We start from the raw sequence: 17,879 nt of genomic DNA, 5'->3' as shown, positions 1-17,879 counted from the left end.
GTCTTGGGTCTGTGTTCCCATAAGGGCCCTGCCTGGCACCTCACTTCCATGATCTTCCAGAGCCTGGGAGCCCACAGCCCATGCCCCTGATGCTTCTCTTGGCAGTCCCAACTCTTACTATGCCCTTTTCCTTGTGGAGGCTGGAGTTCCTCCACCTGCCATGTCAGCCTCATCCTGACTGGTAGGGCTTGGGCTGGGACCCCAGAGCCCTGATTCCTCCCACCACTTCCCACCACCAAGTCCTGAAGGACAGAGACATCTGCATCTCCTACCATTCCCCAACATGACTCCTCTGCCCCAGCCAGGCCAAGCCGAACTCCCTGCCGCCACCATCACGAGGGATGCTCCTCTTCATGCCAGGCTCATTCTTCCCTCCCCACCTTTGTTCCTGCTGTACCCAGCTTCCTTTGTGTTTTTCCCCACCAATTAAAATCGTGCCCATCTTCACGTTTCAGCTCAGGGGTCTTCTTTATAAAGTTCTCAGACACATTGTGAAATGGTTATATGGCCTCATGGAAAAAAAGAACAAACAGAGATTTTGGAATCAGGCAGGGTTCAAGTTCTGACCACATTTCCTTCTGTTTAGTTTTTCTCTGCACCTTGAGTGCCTAGTCATCACTATACAGTAAATCCCCCCTGCAATGGGGTCATGTTCTCATTAAGATTATTGCTCAGAATCCACCCCCTTCCTATTTTTATAGATAAGAAACCCAAGGCCCAGAGAGAGCTAGTGACAGGTCCAAGTCCACACAGCCAGTTACTGGCACAGACAGGAATATAACCCCATGTAAGGATATGCCTGGCTCCCTGCCGCACGGTGTGCCCATTCCCAAACTTTCACTGCCTGGCTCAGCCCTGCCTCAGACATGGAAACCCATCTTTTCTTTCCTAGAGAGAATGAGGCTCCTTGGATAATTATTTCAGGGATTTATCCCTGATGCAGTGTGGATGCTAGACTGACCCAGACCTTGGACTCCAGTTCTAGCAGTTGCATTTATGTACTCATCCAGTCATTCAGCCTCACCTTGGACATTTCTTCCTCTTTGAAACCTTCCCTGACACTGCCCACACCCCCATCCCTATTCAGTTCACCTGCAGGGCCGTGCGTCTCCCACATCTAAGCAGCTTTCAGATCGCCTTGATTTGCCTGTCTCCTCCCATAAAGGGGAGACCCAGGAAGGCAGGCACTATCTGCGTTGACCCTTGTTATGTGCCCCTTGCCTGATGTCTGTTGAGTATTCAGTTAATGGCTATTGACTAAGTGAATTATTAATCACCTACTGTGTGTTTGGAGCTATGCTAGATGAATGAGATGGCCTCTGCCCTCAAGGAGTTTGCCATTGTGTGGGAGAGGGAAGTGGGCAGACACATAGGATTATGATGCACAGTGGCAGTGGGTGCTGCCCTGGAAGGAAGCACAGGAGCCCTGGGGCAGGAACGAGGGGCATCTAGTTCAGCCTAGGACATGAGTGCTGCAGGATATGAGAAAGCTTCTTGAAGGAGGTGACTTTGAGCTACACTAAGGGAAGGACAAGCTGGTTTGGGGAAGTGGGGAGAAGAAAGGGAGGGGAGGAGGCTGCTTCAAGAACAGAAAATAACATTTTAAAGCCTGGATTCAGGGAGGACATGGTGTGATCAGGAGACAGTGAGTGTTTCTGCATGGCTGGGGCATTTGAGAGCTGGGGCAAAGCTAGGAAAGGGGCTGGAGAGGAAGCAGGCCCATCGCCTCTGTGCCCAAAGATACCTGTCTGTGGTGACATGCACGCTCGTGGTTACTATACTCAGTTATACGACTTCACACGTTTGGGGCCAAAGACACTGGGAGGCTTATGAAACATTTTATCAGTGTGTTTGTGCACAGTCCCTAACCCCGACCCCACACATTTGTGCACAGTCCCTGACCCCGACCCCACATTAATGCCCAACATTATTTGGGCAGCTCAACTCTCTGCAAAATGGGTTACCTTCTGTACTGGCTGCTTACAGATCTTTTTACTCCCATTTCCCTAGAATCTCTACCTTTAGTTCCTCTTCAGGCATCACACTTCCTCCATCCCCCACCCCGTGGCCAGCCCTGACTCTAGCTGTCCCCTTTCTCTTCCTCCCTCTGGCCCACGTGGACAGTAAGCTAGGACCACCCTGGGCACCCAGCCAAGGGAGGATTTGGACTTGAGCCATGCAGGCTGGGCTCCGCTGTCCCCTCCCTCTCTTTTCCTCCCCACCCCCATACAGCTTCATTTAATTCCAGGGCAAAGCACTTGCCTAATGCGAGCCAGAGAAAGAGAGCAAGAGCCAGAGACGGAAATACAGAGACGAAGAGAGCAAGAGCCAGAGACGGAAATACAGAGACGAAGAGAGCAAGGACACTTTCTTTGCCACAGCCCAGCAGCCAAACGGCAGCGAACTCTGATGTGGTTACAAGCTCCTCAACTTCTTGTTTGTTGGCCAACTTGGCTGCCAGGTACAAGTGGGAGAGGAAGAGCCGGGGGCCCAACTTCTCTCCATGGCCTCCTGATCAGCTGCCCGTGACCTCCCAGAGTTGTTGAGCCAGCTCTGCCTGGCTCCTGGGGTTGGCAGTGCCCAGGATTCCTGAACTGGGCAGGAGGGCCAATTGGGCCTGCTGGGAGGGTGAGAGAAGGAGCCAGGCATGCTGAGGACTGCAGAGGAAGCCGGGTCTACTCTGAAGAGGGGAAGCCCTCACATCATAGACATATGGCCAGATGGGCCATTAGAGGCCATCCTGGTAACCTGTGAGCATTACAGGGGGAATGTGAGGCCCACAGCAGTGGGTATCTTGCCTGATTTCACACAGGAGCCCATTTCAGAGTTGAGATCAAAACCCAGGTTCTCTTTCCAGATCCTTTAAGATGGGAATCCTGCTTTAGGTTCCCACCCTACCTCCCAAATCTGATTCTCAGCTCACTTACGTCTTCCTCTTGCTAAAAACCCGTCTATGGCTCCACAATGCCCACAGGATTAATCCCAAATTCCCCAGATTTACATTTAGGGTTTGACACATATTTTCCAGCCCACCCTCCCCACTTTTAGCCATTCTTCCCCAAAAAGTCATGCCTTTCTCTGCCGTGGTTCCCTTTTGCTCTGCTGGAATGCCTGTTCCTCCTTCCCCATCTCTTCTTGGGGCCCTTCTGTAAAGGCTCTTTCATCCACCCCAGGTGGAATCAATCACTGTCTGCCTCATTGTTAGAATCCATCTGATCTTTGTTTAGCCTTCCTCTCATTCACGTATAAAATCTGTAGGGACTAATGTGGTTTGGATGTTTGTCCCCTCAAATCTCATGTTGAAATATAATCCCCAGTGTTGGAGGTGGGGCCTGGTGGGAGGGGTCATGGGGGGTGGATCCCTCATGAATAGCTTGTTGCTGTCTTTGAGATCATGAGTGAGTTCTTGCGAGATCTGAGTTACATGAGATCTGATTGTTTAAGAGTGTGGCACCTCCCACTTCTCTCTCTTGCTCATGCTCTCACCATGTGATGCCAGCCCCTCCCTTTTGCCTTCCTCCATGATTGGAAGCTTTCTGAGGCCCTCACCAGAAGCAGATGGCAGTGCCATGCTTCCTGTGTAGCCTGCAGAGCCAGAAGCCAATTAAACCTCTTTTCTTTATAAATTACCTCAGGTACTTCTTTATAGCAATGCAATAATTGATTAATAGAGGGACACAGATTACATTTTGTTCATCTTTAAATCTTCCATAACATTGAACACAGCGGCACACATGGGGTAAATGTTCCTAGACATTTACTGAACAAACGAATGTATGGCAAAAGAGGCAGTAGTTCAGATACCACAGCCCTGCACTCTCAGTTACTTTCTATCCAAAGCCTCTTTGAAGCTTCTCTATCATCTTGAGTGGTGTGTAAATATTATCTACACTTAGAGAGGAAGCTGACTGAACCTCCGAGAGGGAAAGTCACTTGTTCAAGGTTATGTAGCTAGAAACTGGCAGAGCTGGGATTTGATCTCAAGTCTATTTGTTTTTAAAGCCTGTGTTTAATTCACCAGCTCACAGCACATCTGATTATAAATGCCCTCTGAGGCTGATCTTCCTGGGAATTCTTGTGTCCGCATCAACATCCATCAGCAGGGGATCCTCAAGGGGATTCTGGGGGTACCTGCAGAGTGTTTTCCTCACTTGGAAATCCCCCTTCCCTCCCCAGGCCAAGTGAAGTAATGTTCTAGGCTTGCAGAACAGAACACAAAAATTAACCCTGGTCTCACGGGGGCCCTGTCCTCGTTTCCATCTCACCATCTGTCTCTCAGATACTCTCAGATGGTCACCAGGAGCTGTCATTGGGTGGTTCTGAAGCCAAGTTCCAGAGCCAGGCTGCCTGAGTTCAAATACCAACTTGGCTATCTACTAACTATGTGACATTGGACAACTTACTTAACCTTTCTGTGCCTATTCCTCATCTGTAAAATGGAGATATTAATAGCACCTACCTTGTAAAGTTGCAAAGCACTTTGGAGCAGTGACTGGCTCGTGGTAAGTGCTCTGTGCACGTTTGCTATCATTGTTATCCACATCATGTTCTTCCTCTGAGATGCAAGCCTCAGAGGATTTGTTTTCTCTTCCTGCGAAGAGTCATCTCTGTTTCTTTCTGTGTGTTCTGGATAGGCCTCTTAAATACTCTAGGCCTCCCTTGTAAGACAAGGAAGCAAAATTGGGCAGAAAGAACGGCTCCAAGGAAAGCCAAATCAAAGTGACTTTTGTGGCGACAAATGCTTAATAACAACTTTACAAATCCAGTTGAATTACTATGAATAACAACCCTCTTTTTTTTTTTGTATGGATACCGCGCCCATCTCCCAGAGAGCACCCAGCTACAACCCTGAAATCCACCCAAAAGAATAATTACTGGGAAAACAAACTAAAAATAACCCCATAGGAAACAGTGCCAGCTCAGAAGCAGCTCTTCGGAGGTGGGGGCGTTCAAGGAACCTCTTCTGTTGCTTCTGGGATAATAGATTCTAATTTTTAAACCTGGAGTTGTCTTGGGGGTGAGTCCTGGCCCCTGCCCCTACAATCTAGGTCGCCAGGTTGTCTTCAGTATGCTTCCTGGGCATCTGACCTCTGTGCTGCCTTCTGGTGGTCCAAAGAGGGGTGTGGCAGATTGGGGGCCCCACTCCTGGTCCCCGATGCTGACTCGGTTCTTACCGTGTGGGACCTGGGTTGCTCCCTTTCCCTGTCCCTTGAGTTGGACACGCCCAGAGTCCACTGTCTTCCACTGAGGGTCTCAGTGTGTCAGACGTTCTGTGTTTCATATACATGACCTCAGTTCCTTCTCAAGGTGGTTCCCACTTTCTTGGTAAAGAGAGGAGGCTCAGAGAGGTTGAGTCACTGGTTCAAGGACACACAGGGAGGAAAACATAGAGTTAGAGTTGGAACCCAGGTCAGGCCTGTCTGACATCAGAGATTACAAACATTCCTCTAGGAATCCCTGCATTGAGGGGCTCAGCTTCCCGAGGTCTTCCATCGGGGGGAATGCAGGGGGATACCCATGATGCAGCAGAGGCCTTGTGATACTCCCCTTCAGATGGAGTATTACAAAGCAAGTGCTGTGTCTCTGCAGCCAGGGAGGGGCCATGTCTTCTCTGTGTCTCTCAGACTGGGCTCTCGCCAGGAAGGGCTGTGTCTCCTCATCAGAGAGGAGGGTCTTCTTCCTATCAGTCTGGAAGAAGCTCCACTGTAGAGGCATCTTCTCCCCTCTAAGTGTGTGGGCTGCCTCAGGGAAGGGCTGGATGTACTCCATCAGGCAAGGGCACTCCCTGCGGGGGGCTGTCTCCCAGCTCTAACCAGGTTCCATCAGCCCTGTCCTTGGTCTCCCTTTTCCCAGCGATCACCACCTGGGACTCCAGAGTTCCCAACCGAATGCTGACAGCCGACTAATGGGAAAGACAGCAGGATAAACATGGGGCTCCCCTTGGCAGGGACTCAGGCTGTTTCGTTCCTCCAGCAGAGATGAATGCTTGTCCCTGGGAAGGATGATGGCTTTTCTACCTGAGAATGCTGCTGCTGCAGTTCCTTTTGATTGAAATGTGTCCCTGTGGTGATGAGGCGGCTCTGAGGACTGGTGGCTGCTAGTTTCCGCTGCCTGGTTCATAGGCTTTGTCCATCTACAGAAGATAGATGATGTTATTCCAAGCTGAGATGATGCAACCAAGGTCAGAGTGAAGCATTTAATTGGAATGTCAGGGGCCGGGGCCTGGCTCTGCTGAGAGTGATTGATTCCCTAGCGGTCCTTGTCAAAGATGCAGCCATGGATGGGGGAGGTGGTGCAGGGGAGGCCAGGGCAGTAGGAGGCTGCCAGCCGCTGTCCCCTTGTGCACTGAGGCCATTCAATAGGCTTCTGCATCTTTCAGAGGCTATGCCTTCTACAAAAGGGAGACTGAGGTACAACAGATGGGAGGCATTACAAGGATAAGGACACTGGAGCTCCGAACTTCAGCCTTTAGTTCTGTCCGACAGCTCTGTTTCCCTCCTGCTCTTAATCCCTTCTAATCCCCTGACTGGTCCTGATCCTTTCTCTGTGCTAAAGAGAGGGCAATGGGAAGAAGCACTGGTTGCCCCATGACACAGAGAACACTGCCCATCTTACAGCTGCACTCCTCTGGCTCCAGCCTGCTGTGGAAGGGAAGGGTGTCATCAGAGGTTGGAAGCCACTGACCCTCCATCTATGCATGCTAGGAAACTCTTCTCATAGTCTCCAGAGCCTAAGGGATCATTCCCATGTTGGGGAAATTGAGGCTGAGAATTGGGTTTGGTTCTACCTTGTGAGCAACCCTCTTACATCCCATAGTGGTCTTGCTGCAGAAGTCAAGGAAGAGCTAGGGTGTGGGCAGCAGGAAGAGCTCTGGCTGTCCTGTATTAGAAAGCTGGATGCAGGGTGGTGCTGAATGGAAGGAGGCCGAGGCAGGAAAACATGAAGTGTTCCAGGTATAAATAGCTATGGTGACTGTGTGTGCTCTCCTTTCCTGGGTGTAGGAGTGAGTCCAGGGAAAGAACAGGCTGGGGAGGTGGCCAGGGGAGAGCAGCTGAGGCTGCAGAGAGGGAGGTGACACACATCGGCTCAGCATAGAGTGGCACCTGCAAGGAAGGGGCTGGAGGAGATGGGAAGGCTGAGGGGTCTGGAGCTTGGATCAGGGATTTGGGGTAACTTGGAGGAGAAGGTGTGATTGGAGGCCTGGGTTGGTATGGGGTGGGGAGAAGTTCTTGGGTATGAGGTGGAAGGAGTGCTGATGTCTCCAAAGCATGCTCACTGTTTTATATGTCACTCTCAGAAGGCTGGATCCAGGGCATTACATTTTGTTTTTGTGAACACAATCACCATCATCACTATTGTCTTCCTCATCTCAACTCTCATCACCACCATCACCATTGTCACCATTATTACCAGCATCACCACCACCATCACAAACATCACCATTATCACCACCATCACCACCAACATTACCATCATCATAACTCTCATCACTATCATCACCACCATCACAGCTCTCACCCCCATCATCACGAGCATCATCATTGTCCCCATCATCATAACTCTCATTACCAACATCGCCATTATCACTGCCATCATCACTAACATTATCATTACCCTCTCATAATAACTCTCATCACCCTCGTTACTGTCATCACCAACATCTCCACTATCATCACAGCTCTTGTCACTAACATCACCATCATCAGTACCATCAATAACCTTAACATCAACATCATCATAACTGTCACCACCATCATCGCAACTCTCATCACCAGCATCATCATTCTCATTACCACCACCACTGTCATCATTACCACTCTCATTGCTATCACTACCATCATTATCATCATCATTATCAGTCATCAGTTATTGTCCTTGTCCTGCCTTCCATTCCTGCTTGATGCTTTATAATTTATTCCAAAATACTTCCACATCCTTTCTCTAATAAGAAATTAATCAGAGACCTTTGAAGCAGGCAGGATTGGTCTAGTTATCTCCATTTCACAGAAGAGGAAACTGAGGCTCAGAGATGGTAAGTGACATGCCTGAGGTTAAGCAACATGTTCACTTACTCTTACTAGAACTGAGTTCTTATCTACTGATTCAAGGCTCTTCCTAGTGCACCTAGCTGCTGTAGAATCTCCACTGCCTTCCTTATCTTGTTTCTCCTCCTTCTACTTGGCACCAATACAAACTGGTGTGGAAAACTCTAGTTTTGATAAAACAAGAGAGGCTTTAGTCATAGTAGTACAAAACTGGATGTATGTTCATGGGTAAGTCTCTTCCTCATGTTGGGCTCCAATTTCCTCATTTTCACAGGTACCGGTTTGGGCCTGATAAAGTCCAAAGGCTCTTTCTACTCTGCTAGTCTATAACGGTGCCACAGAAAAAGAGTCATATAAACAGAGAAAAAAAATAGAAAAAGACAGCGCGACAGAGACGTAGACACACACAGACCAAGGCAGAGACCCAGAGAGACCTAGGAAGACCTAGACAAAAGACTCATTAAGATCCAGGAAGATACAGAGAGAAATAGAGACAGAAAGCAGCCAAGAGACAGAGTACACGTCAAAGAGGAGATTTAAGAGGCAAAAAGCCTAGAGAGGAAAAGTAAGTTTTTGAGCAGGACCAGGGGGCAACTGATCTGTGTAGTGGTCTCTGCTCAGGATCCCCACCCAGAGTTCTCCAGGGAGAACTGGCTAAAATGAGGACAGACAGTGCAGCCTGGAGATACTTCTGAAAGGTTTTTGGCTGAATTGGCAACTTCTATGTGTGTATTGTATGTGTGTGCTTGTCTGCATGTTTGAATTGTGGGCTTCAGAATGCTTTTTTTTTTTTTTTTTCAGGGACCAGAAAGGGTGTTAGGGCCTCCTATCATGGATTTTTACCTCCCTGCCACCTGGCTTTCACAGCAGCAGGCTTGCTGATTTGGCTGCCTCTGTCCTTGACAAATTAGTCCAGAAAAATAGGATGTGGAGGTAGTGGGGTGATAGGTTTAGGCTGCATTCATAAAGGAGCTGTGGTGGGGGCTCCCAGTTGTTTATAGGGAGTTAGAAACGGCTTCTTCCCTTCTGTAAGGTGGGGAGGCTTTCAGCCACAGAAGCTGTGCAGCACTGGATTAGAGACTGGACTCAAGTTCAGCTTGGACTCTCATACAGTGACTTTGAGCAAGACTCTTGCTCCTTATCTACATGAATAAGTGGGAATGAGTGAGCTCTGCCTTCCATGAGTCTGGGAAATAAACTTTCTTTAGTGACTAGCTCCCATTAGTGCACTTTGTGCCCCAGAGCCTCTGATTTATGGGCAGAAGGGCCAGGGCTACCTCCTCCATGAATGTTCTGGCCCACACTGCCAAGCACTTAGAGCATCTTCCCATCATCTGTTTAATTCAAAAATCTTGCTTTATCACTTTCGTTTTTAGAATCCATCTATGGATACCTATTGCCCTCAGAATAAAGTCCAAGTACTTCCTCTAAGGCCCTGTAGACCTGCTGCAGCACTAGACCTGGAGGTGGCTGAGCTACTCAAACCCCTCTGTTTCCCTTATCAATCTCATCTGTGCAGATTCCCTAGTGAAAGGGCAGCCACGGGTCTCCCTGGGTTTCAGCTGGCTGGACCTGGGGTAGACTTAACTCAAGACCAGGCAACCCAAGGCTCCAGAATTACTAGAGTTTACGGAAGAATCCAGGAAAATGAGGAAGAGTCAGGGCCTTAAGAGGTCATGGCCAGCACAAGCTAAGAGGAGGCATAAGCCAAGAGGAAGCAGAAGCTACGAGGTAAAAGGAAATGACCTCCCATTTTTGGCAGGTTTTGTTGAACGTGGACTTGGCTAAGGGAGTCCCCAGTGATCCTAGAGATCCCTTACTCCTTGATGAGACACACACACTTGTCCTGTCAATGCGCCCCCATTAGTAGAGGGAATCTATTCTCAGGACATAGTGAAGTGACACCGAAATACTTGTCCCCTGCTTGCTTTTGCACTTAATTACCCCTACTCACTCCTTTCCTCCAATTCTGCACCTGATGCTTTAGCCACAGATGGCTGTGCTCTCCGAATGTGCTGTGATGTTGAGAGACTCTGCACTTGCTATTCCCTTTGCCTGGAATGCCACCTCCCACCTGTTCCCAGGATGCTCACCTTTCAAGTTGCCTTCCCTGGGAGGTTTTTCTAACCACTTCCAGCCTCAACTGCAAAGTTGATTACTCCCTCTTTTGCCCCCATATGTCCCTGCAATTGCTTCACAGTGCTTGGTCCATGTCTGTCTTTCCGTTTAGACTGAGAACTTGCCAAGGACTGAGACCATGTCCTTCATTTTTGTATCCCCAGCTCCTGGCACAGGGTCTGCTAGAGAGAGGATATTAAAGTTGTGTTGAACAAATGGATGTCTTTAAATGTTCATGCAATTACATGGGGAATGTGGGAGGAAGACCAGGTTGGGGAGGGCTGGGAGAGAAGATAAGTTAGGTTTGGACCAGGCTGAACTTGGTGTGTCTGTGGACTTGGGCATGGAAATACACAAGAGGCAAGGAGAACATGAGCTAGGAGCTTGAGAGAGAAGTTTGGACCAGAGAGCAATTTGGGAGCTGCACACTTATGGGCAGCAGTTGGAGATATGGGGGTGTAAACATGTGCTTGGGAAAAAGAATAAAGAGAAAAGATAAGGAAGCTGAGGAAGTATGGGCTTGAGGAAAGCAGACCCCCACCTCTTCTTCTCCACCCACCTGATCTGGGGATGCCCACGAATCATTCTGGACCCAGAGGCAACCATAGTTTGCGGGAGAGGCAGATTCTCAGGATGAGGGTACCTGTGCTACCTTGGAAGATCTCTTCTTCATCAAGTCCCTACGTTTGGGGGGATAATTGTTTTCCTCATTAATGAGCATGCATATAAACCACTGAAGTTTTCCTTGGCTCACTCCTTTCCAGGTAGGCAGCATTCCCCTCTCTCCTTTCATGCGTAAAGGATGTGCCAGTGTCACTGCAAGGCATGACAGGACTGCAGACACCTGATGACAGCAGGAGGCCGACAGGGTGGGATAAACTGAGAGGTGGGAAAGTCCAGGCTCAGAGGCTGGGGCCAGGGTGGAGGATAGGTGTCTTCAATGCCTTAACCCTTGGAGAAGAATAGCCACCCTTTCTAAAGCATTTGGTATGTACCAAGCATGGTGTCTAGCACAGTACAGGTGCTATCTCCTCGACATCTTTTTTGGTAGGGAGCTTACCCTGTTTTGCAGATGAGGAAACTGAGGCTCAAAGAGGATATAACCATCCACAGTTACATAGAATTGTTGCAAAACCAGCTTCCAAATCCAGATCTCTAGGACTCCATAGTCCAAGTCTTCCCTGGAACATCACCCTGGGAGGGAAGCTTTCTCAGGACCAGGTGTGCTTGCCACAGCAGGCGGATCCACCCCAGCAGTTCTGGCTGCAGAGCATAGCACTCCCCTTGTTTTGAGCCATTGCTGCTGCTTCTTTCCTCCTTGTGGCCATCATTAGTACTGCTATACAGCTATTTCCAGCTGTCCCCACCTGTTCCCCACCTACATGGTAGGATTGCTGTGCCTGGTCCTCTTGAGTGGGGTTTTGTGTTAGTTCTGTCTCCTCACTTTGTGAGCAGAATTGGCATGTGTCACTTCCAGACCAAGCGCTTAATTGCCAAAGTAAGACCCTCCAGAGCAATCTTCTCCTTCTGGTAGAGTGACTGGCAACATGCAAGATGTTAGCCACTCCATCAGTCCGGGGCCCAGTGGCGACCCTGAGCAGAACCTCCTGCTGAATGGTGATGGAAATTTAATGACAACAAGATGATTTTGGGGTTGTTACTGCAGTGTAACATAGCCTATGCTGAACTGAGATGTAACTTTTCTCATTGCTAGAAAAAGTCATGTAAACCAGTTTGCTCCCAAGGCTCTACCCTTGCTGGCCCCAGAACCATCTCTCTCTGAGCACTTTCTTCAAAGAATTCTGGCATTTGTGAATGTTCCCAAGAAAACCAGACAGAGATCCAGATGCCTCTCTGATCACAGAAACTGAAAGCCAAACTTTCTGTGAAGTTCCTAGATCCATGGTACTGCTGTCAATATCTATAGATAGTTTCATAGTTTACAAAGACCATTTATGCTTGCAAATATGCCCAGTCCTAGAAACAATCCCTCTGAGGGAGACATAGTTGTTACCATTTCACAGAAGAGCAGAAGGGAAGTCAGAGGAGTTAAGGCTCCTTGGCCAGAGCTGCATGGTTCTTTGAATCACTCACTATGCGACTTGGGGCAAATTACTTAACATTTATGTTCTTCAGTTTCCTCAACTGTAAAATGGGGATAATCATAGTGCCTATCTCATATGAATGTTATGTGTATGAAATGCGATAATATACATGAAAGCATTGAAGACTATGTTAGGCTCTTGTAAGTGCTAAATAAGTATCTGCTGTTATATATCATTGCTGTCACCATCATCACCATCATCATCATCAACATAATCACCACCATCATCACTATCACCACCACCATCATCATTGTCATCACCATGAATACCACCATCATCATCACTACCAGCATCAGTATCATCATCATAATCATCACCATCATCTTCATCACTACCATCATTGTCATCACCATCGTCACCATTATTGTCATCATCACCACAATTATCCCCACCACTGCCATCTTTATTATCATTCTTATGGTTCTGGACATATCACTTCAACTCTCTGGGCCTCAATTTCCTTACCTGTGAAATGGGCACTGTAAATATTTGCAAACCGTATAATAATTATAGGGTTTATTGAGTGCATTTCATGTGCTTGATACCATTCTAAGTTCATCATTCATTACCTCGTTTAATTCTCATGAGCACCTCCGAGATCAGATTATAAATAGCAGAACTGGGATTCTAACCCGGGCCATCTGACTCCAGAGTAAGTCTCTTAATTACTACCATATAAACTTTATATGGTAGTACAACGTTTGTGTTTTAAGCTGTTATTACAAGAGTCTGAAAGTTAAAAAAATTAAAAAGAGTTTACAAACTAAACAAGTTACAGTAAGCTAAGGTTAGTTTATTATTGAAGAAAAAATATTTTTAATAAATTTAATGTAGTCTAAATGTACAGTGTTTATACTTATAGTCTCAAGCCTCCTGAGTGGTGATAAGTGGCATATGCAAGGTAGCATGTAATGCTGCAGGATGTTTCTCGGGCCTTTAATAAGTAAACTGATGTGTGAGCTATGTGAGTTCATGAGTGTTAAATGTCTGTGTGTGCACACTTATGTGTGAGTGTGACATGCTATTTAAAGTATATGCAGTCATGCGTTGCTTAGTGATGAAGATACATTCTGAAACATGTATCATTAGGTGATTTCATTGTTGTGCACACATCATGGAGTGTACTTACAGAAACCTGGATGGTATAGCTTACTACACACCTAGGCTATATAGTATGACCTCTTATTCCTAGGCTACAAACCTGTGCAGCATATTACCATGTTGCATACTGTAGGCAATTTTAACACAGTGGTATTTGTGTATCTAAACATATTCAAACATAGAAAAAAGGTAGGGTATAAATACAGTATAAAAGATAGAGAATGGCACACCTGTATGGAACACTTACCATGAATGGCATGTGGAGGACTGGAAGCTGATCTGGGTAAGTCAATCAGTGAGTGGTGAATGGACTTGAAGGCCTAGGACAGTACTGTACACTACTGTAGACTTTATAAACACTGTACATTTAGGCTACATTAAATTTATTAAAAATATTTTTCTTTCTTCAGTAATAAACTAACCTTAGCTTACTGTAACTTCTTTAGTTTGTAAACTCTTTTTAATTTTTTTTTAACTTTCAGACTCTTGTAATAACAGCTTAAAACACAAATGTTGTATAGCTGTACAAAATATCTTCTTTCTTTATATCCTTAATCTATAAGAGATTTCCTATTTAAAATTTTTTATTTCTTTTGTACTTCATAAAGTTTTTTGTTAAAAGTGAAGACATGAACACACACATTAGCCTGGGCCTACACAGGGTCAGCATGATCAATATCACTGTCTTCCACCTCCACATCTTGTTGCACTGGAAGGTCTTCAGGGGCAATAACATGTATAGAGCTGTCATCTCCTGTGATAATGGTGCTTTCTCCTGGAATTCCTCCTGAAGGACCTGCCTGAGGCTGTTCCTGAGGTAGTGTCACTCTTTTCAGAAACGTATCCATGGTAGTTTGCTTGGTTGTTTTCTTTTTTCATCATAGATTTGCTTGTAAGCAAATAATGCACCATGAACATTCCTCTCTATTAATGCAAACCTTTTGTTGTTAGGGTCTACATTTTCAAACCTTTTAAGGAGCTTGTTGCGGTCTGCAAAAGCTTCTGCTAAACTCCTCACTGTGAATTTTCTTCAGGGTTCTTTTTCTTCTCCTGTACTTTCCCTTTTTCTTGCCTCTTCTTCAGCTATGTGATCCTGTTCCAGTTCCAACAATTCCTCCTTAGTCAATTCTTCATTAACCACCTCTGAGAGCTCCTCAATGTCATCCTCATCCACACCCGGGTTGAAGCTGTTTGCCATTTCAACCACAGCCTTGTTGATTTTTAATCCCCTTATGCTTGGAAAATCCTTTGAAGCTTGGATAAACCTCTTGAGTGTCTTCTTCCAGATGCCATTCATACACTCATTGATGACATCACTTAAGCCCAAGCAAGGTTCACGATGCAAAGATGTAATTTTTCCAGAATTGCGTCAATATCTTCTCAGTGCCTTCCTTAGTTGTAGCAATAGCCTGAACAAAGATCTTCCCTGAGCAGTAGGTCTTACAAGCTGCTATAATTCGTTTCTCCATTGGTTGAATCAAAGAGGTGGTGTTTGGAGACAGAAAGACCACGTTGATATTGAAATGAAGATCACCAATAAAAGAGGGATGTGTGGGAGCATTATCAACAATAAGCAAAATCTTGAAATGTATGTTATTCTCCAAACAGCATTTCTCTATTTTGCTGGCATAGCAACTCAAGGGGGCGTCTTGGAAGAGGAGTTGGGTCATCCATGACTTATTATTGCTCCTGAAGTACACTGGCCATGTGTGCTTATTGATATGCTTGAGGCCCTGGGGTTCTCACTGTCCCAGATCACAAAGGGTTTCAATTTGTGGCCTGCAACATTGTCCCCAAGCAAGATTGTCATCCTGTCCTTAAAAGTCTTGAAATCTGGCATTGACTTGACCTTCTTTAGGATTAAAGTCCTTTCAGGCATCCATTTCCAGAATAGGCAGCTTTCATCCATATTGAAGATTTGCTCTGGCAAGTAATTTTCCTCCACGATCAGATTGCCAGAGTTTTCAAAAATTCTTCAGCTGCCATCACATCAGCACTTGAAAACTCACCACTCACTTTCACAGAATGTAATAAATAATGATTCTTGAATCATTTAATCCACCCGGGGCTAACAGTAAATTCAACATCATAGTTGGGTCCAGCATCTTCTTTCAACATCACGAAATTTTTGCTTTGGCAGTGATCATCACGGTGCTGGGAGGGATAGGCTTCTGTGTCTAGTCTTCAAATCAAGTCATTAGAAATTTCTGTCTATCTGATATGGGCCCTTTTAGAACTTTTGTTAGTATCATTGCCTTCAATGAAGCAGATCCTTTAGCAGCTTCTGTCACTTTGATCTTGTTCTTCAAGATTGTAGCTATGGTGGAATGACACATGCCTGACTGATGAGCAGTAACCATCACTGATTCTCCACCTTCATAGTCCTTAATCACTTTTAATTTTGTTTCCAGGACAATCACTTGATGTGGCCTCTTACTGGCAACATTAGCAGTGGATTTTGTTCACTTTGGGGCTATGATGAACAAAACATTGTGAGGTTAAATCAAGCACAAGAGAAAACAGTGCAATCAAGAAGTGCAGTAAACGAGATATATGAGGCTGCTGCTGGAGTAACACAGCATACTGTTTTACAGTAAACATTTTTTTTAATAAGTAGAAGGTGTACACTCTAACGATAAAAAGCATGGTATAGTAAATAGATAAACCATCAACACAGTCCTTTATTATCATTATCAAATATTATGTACTATACATAATTGTACATGCTAGACTATTATACAATTGGTAGTCCTGTAGGTTTGTTTATAGCAGCATCACTACAAACATGTGAGTAATGGGCTGTGCTACAACATTACATCACTAGGCGATAGGAAATTTTCAGCTCCATTATAATCTTATGGGACCACCCTTGAATATGCAGGCTGTTGTTGATTGAAACAGCATTACGTGGAGGATGACTGTATTTGATTCCTGTTTGAGATCTGGCAGGCTTTCTGTGCATGTACTGGCTCACCTGTAATATTGTTTAATGTGTGATTCTTGGTCTCTGTGTGTTTCAGTGTAAGTCATACAGACATTTGTGGGTGTGATGCCATGTGGACCAAGTGTGTGAGTTACCATGTGAGATGTATAGGCCACTGTGGATGTATTTGTAATGATATGTGAGCTATGTGGTCTGATTGGGTATGTGATACAGTGTGGCTGGTGCGTTTGTGTGTGTGTGTGTGTGTGTGTGTGTGTGTGTGTGTGTGTGTGTGTGTGTGTATGAGAGAGAGAGAGAGAGACAGAGAGAGATCTGGCATGCAGTGTGCTATCTGCACTGTCTGGCTGTGAGTCTGTGGTGTGTATCTGGGTGCTGTGAGTGTGTGTTCACTTGTGCATCTCTGTAGGAACCAGTGAGCTGTGCATATGTGTGTGCGTGCATGTATGTATGTTTGTGTGTCTAGTCATGTCCCTGTACACAGGGTATTGTTGTGTGCAAGCATGTGTATCAGTAGGCAGAGGGCTCTGTGTCTCTAAGAGCCAGAAGGCCGGTGCAGTGTGGGTTGAGGGAGCTGTGAGTTAGAGGGTTTAAACAGGCTTCTTGGCTGGCCTGGGTCCAGCTCTCCCCTCCCAGCTTCTGCAAATACTGCCTAGCAGATGCACTGAGTTTTTATACACATGGAAACAGCCCTTTAAATATTTACCCTCCAGCCTGGTGGAATGTCCTGCTTCTCTTGCCTGCCCTCCCTCCACAGGCACTCAGCTCTCCTGCTGCTCCCTGGGGCTTAGCTTGGTAGGTCTCTGCTGCCCCTGGGACTCACTCTGGATTCCAGGAGTCAGTGAGGAGGGAAACCCTAGGAAGGCTGAAGCCAACACAGCTCTCACTCTGGGTTGCATTCCTTAGCATGGCCTTCATAGCTGCCTTCAGATCCACTCAACTCCCTTACACAGTCACGGCATTTACATTTCATTTACTTCACTTTTACACGCAGATATGCCCAAGTCAGCCTCACCACTTGACACTCACTTCCACCTCCTTTCACAGGTCCAGCCCTTCACACCTCTCCAGGCTCCTCCTCTTCTTCCCTTGCCAGTCTTAGGAGCTTCTTCCCCTACTCCCCTGACCCATCCAAGACACTGTGAGCTGCCCTCCTTCCTTAAGGGCCAGGAGATCCCAGCCACGAAACTCTGTCCATGGTTCTGAACCGTCATACCTGGCAGATGCTTCGCTCCTTAACCTTGGGACATTGGTGGTAACTCTTATCCAAAAGTTCCCAGGAATTCTGAACTGGGTGAAGAGTTAGTGGTAGGTGAAATAAGATCATGTGCATATGTGTGTGTGTGTGCTCACACTGTCTCTGAGGGATAAAATAGAGACAAAAAGATAAAGGGAGACAAAAAGGAACAGACAGAGACAGGCACAGAGCCATAGAGAGAGATAGAGGAGAGAGACAGAGACTGTGAGACAGGCAGGCAGGGAGACAGATAGGAGAAGCCACTGGAATGTCAAAAGTGCTGACAAGTAATCCTACTTACAAAGAAGGCATCTTATTTTCCTCTGGGAAGC

General features: G+C 46.4%; 2 annotated features.

Moving 5' to 3' along the window:
• Nucleotides 5,418-6,617: an enhancer, noted in NCBI's record as "BRD4-independent group 4 enhancer chr17:32894480-32895679 (GRCh37/hg19 assembly coordinates)". NCBI's record gives its function as "activates an origin of replication core promoter dependent on BRD2, P300/CBP, MED14 and CDK7 cofactors, and independent of BRD4, by STARR-seq in HCT116 cells {active_cell/tissue: HCT116}" and the evidence as "EXISTENCE:reporter gene assay evidence [ECO:0000049][PMID:35650434]".
• Nucleotides 17,381-17,581: a silencer, noted in NCBI's record as "peak2810 fragment used in MPRA reporter construct". NCBI's record gives its function as "represses an SCP1 promoter by STARR-seq MPRAs in K562 erythroleukemia cells {active_cell/tissue: K562}" and the evidence as "EXISTENCE:reporter gene assay evidence [ECO:0000049][PMID:32103011]".

Source organism: Homo sapiens, chromosome 17 (genome assembly GCF_000001405.40).
Source record: "Homo sapiens chromosome 17, GRCh38.p14 Primary Assembly".
Classification (NCBI taxonomy): Eukaryota; Metazoa; Chordata; class Mammalia; order Primates; family Hominidae; genus Homo; species Homo sapiens.
Note: the sequence above shows the minus strand (reverse complement) of the source record. Positions and strands in the feature narration are given on the sequence as shown.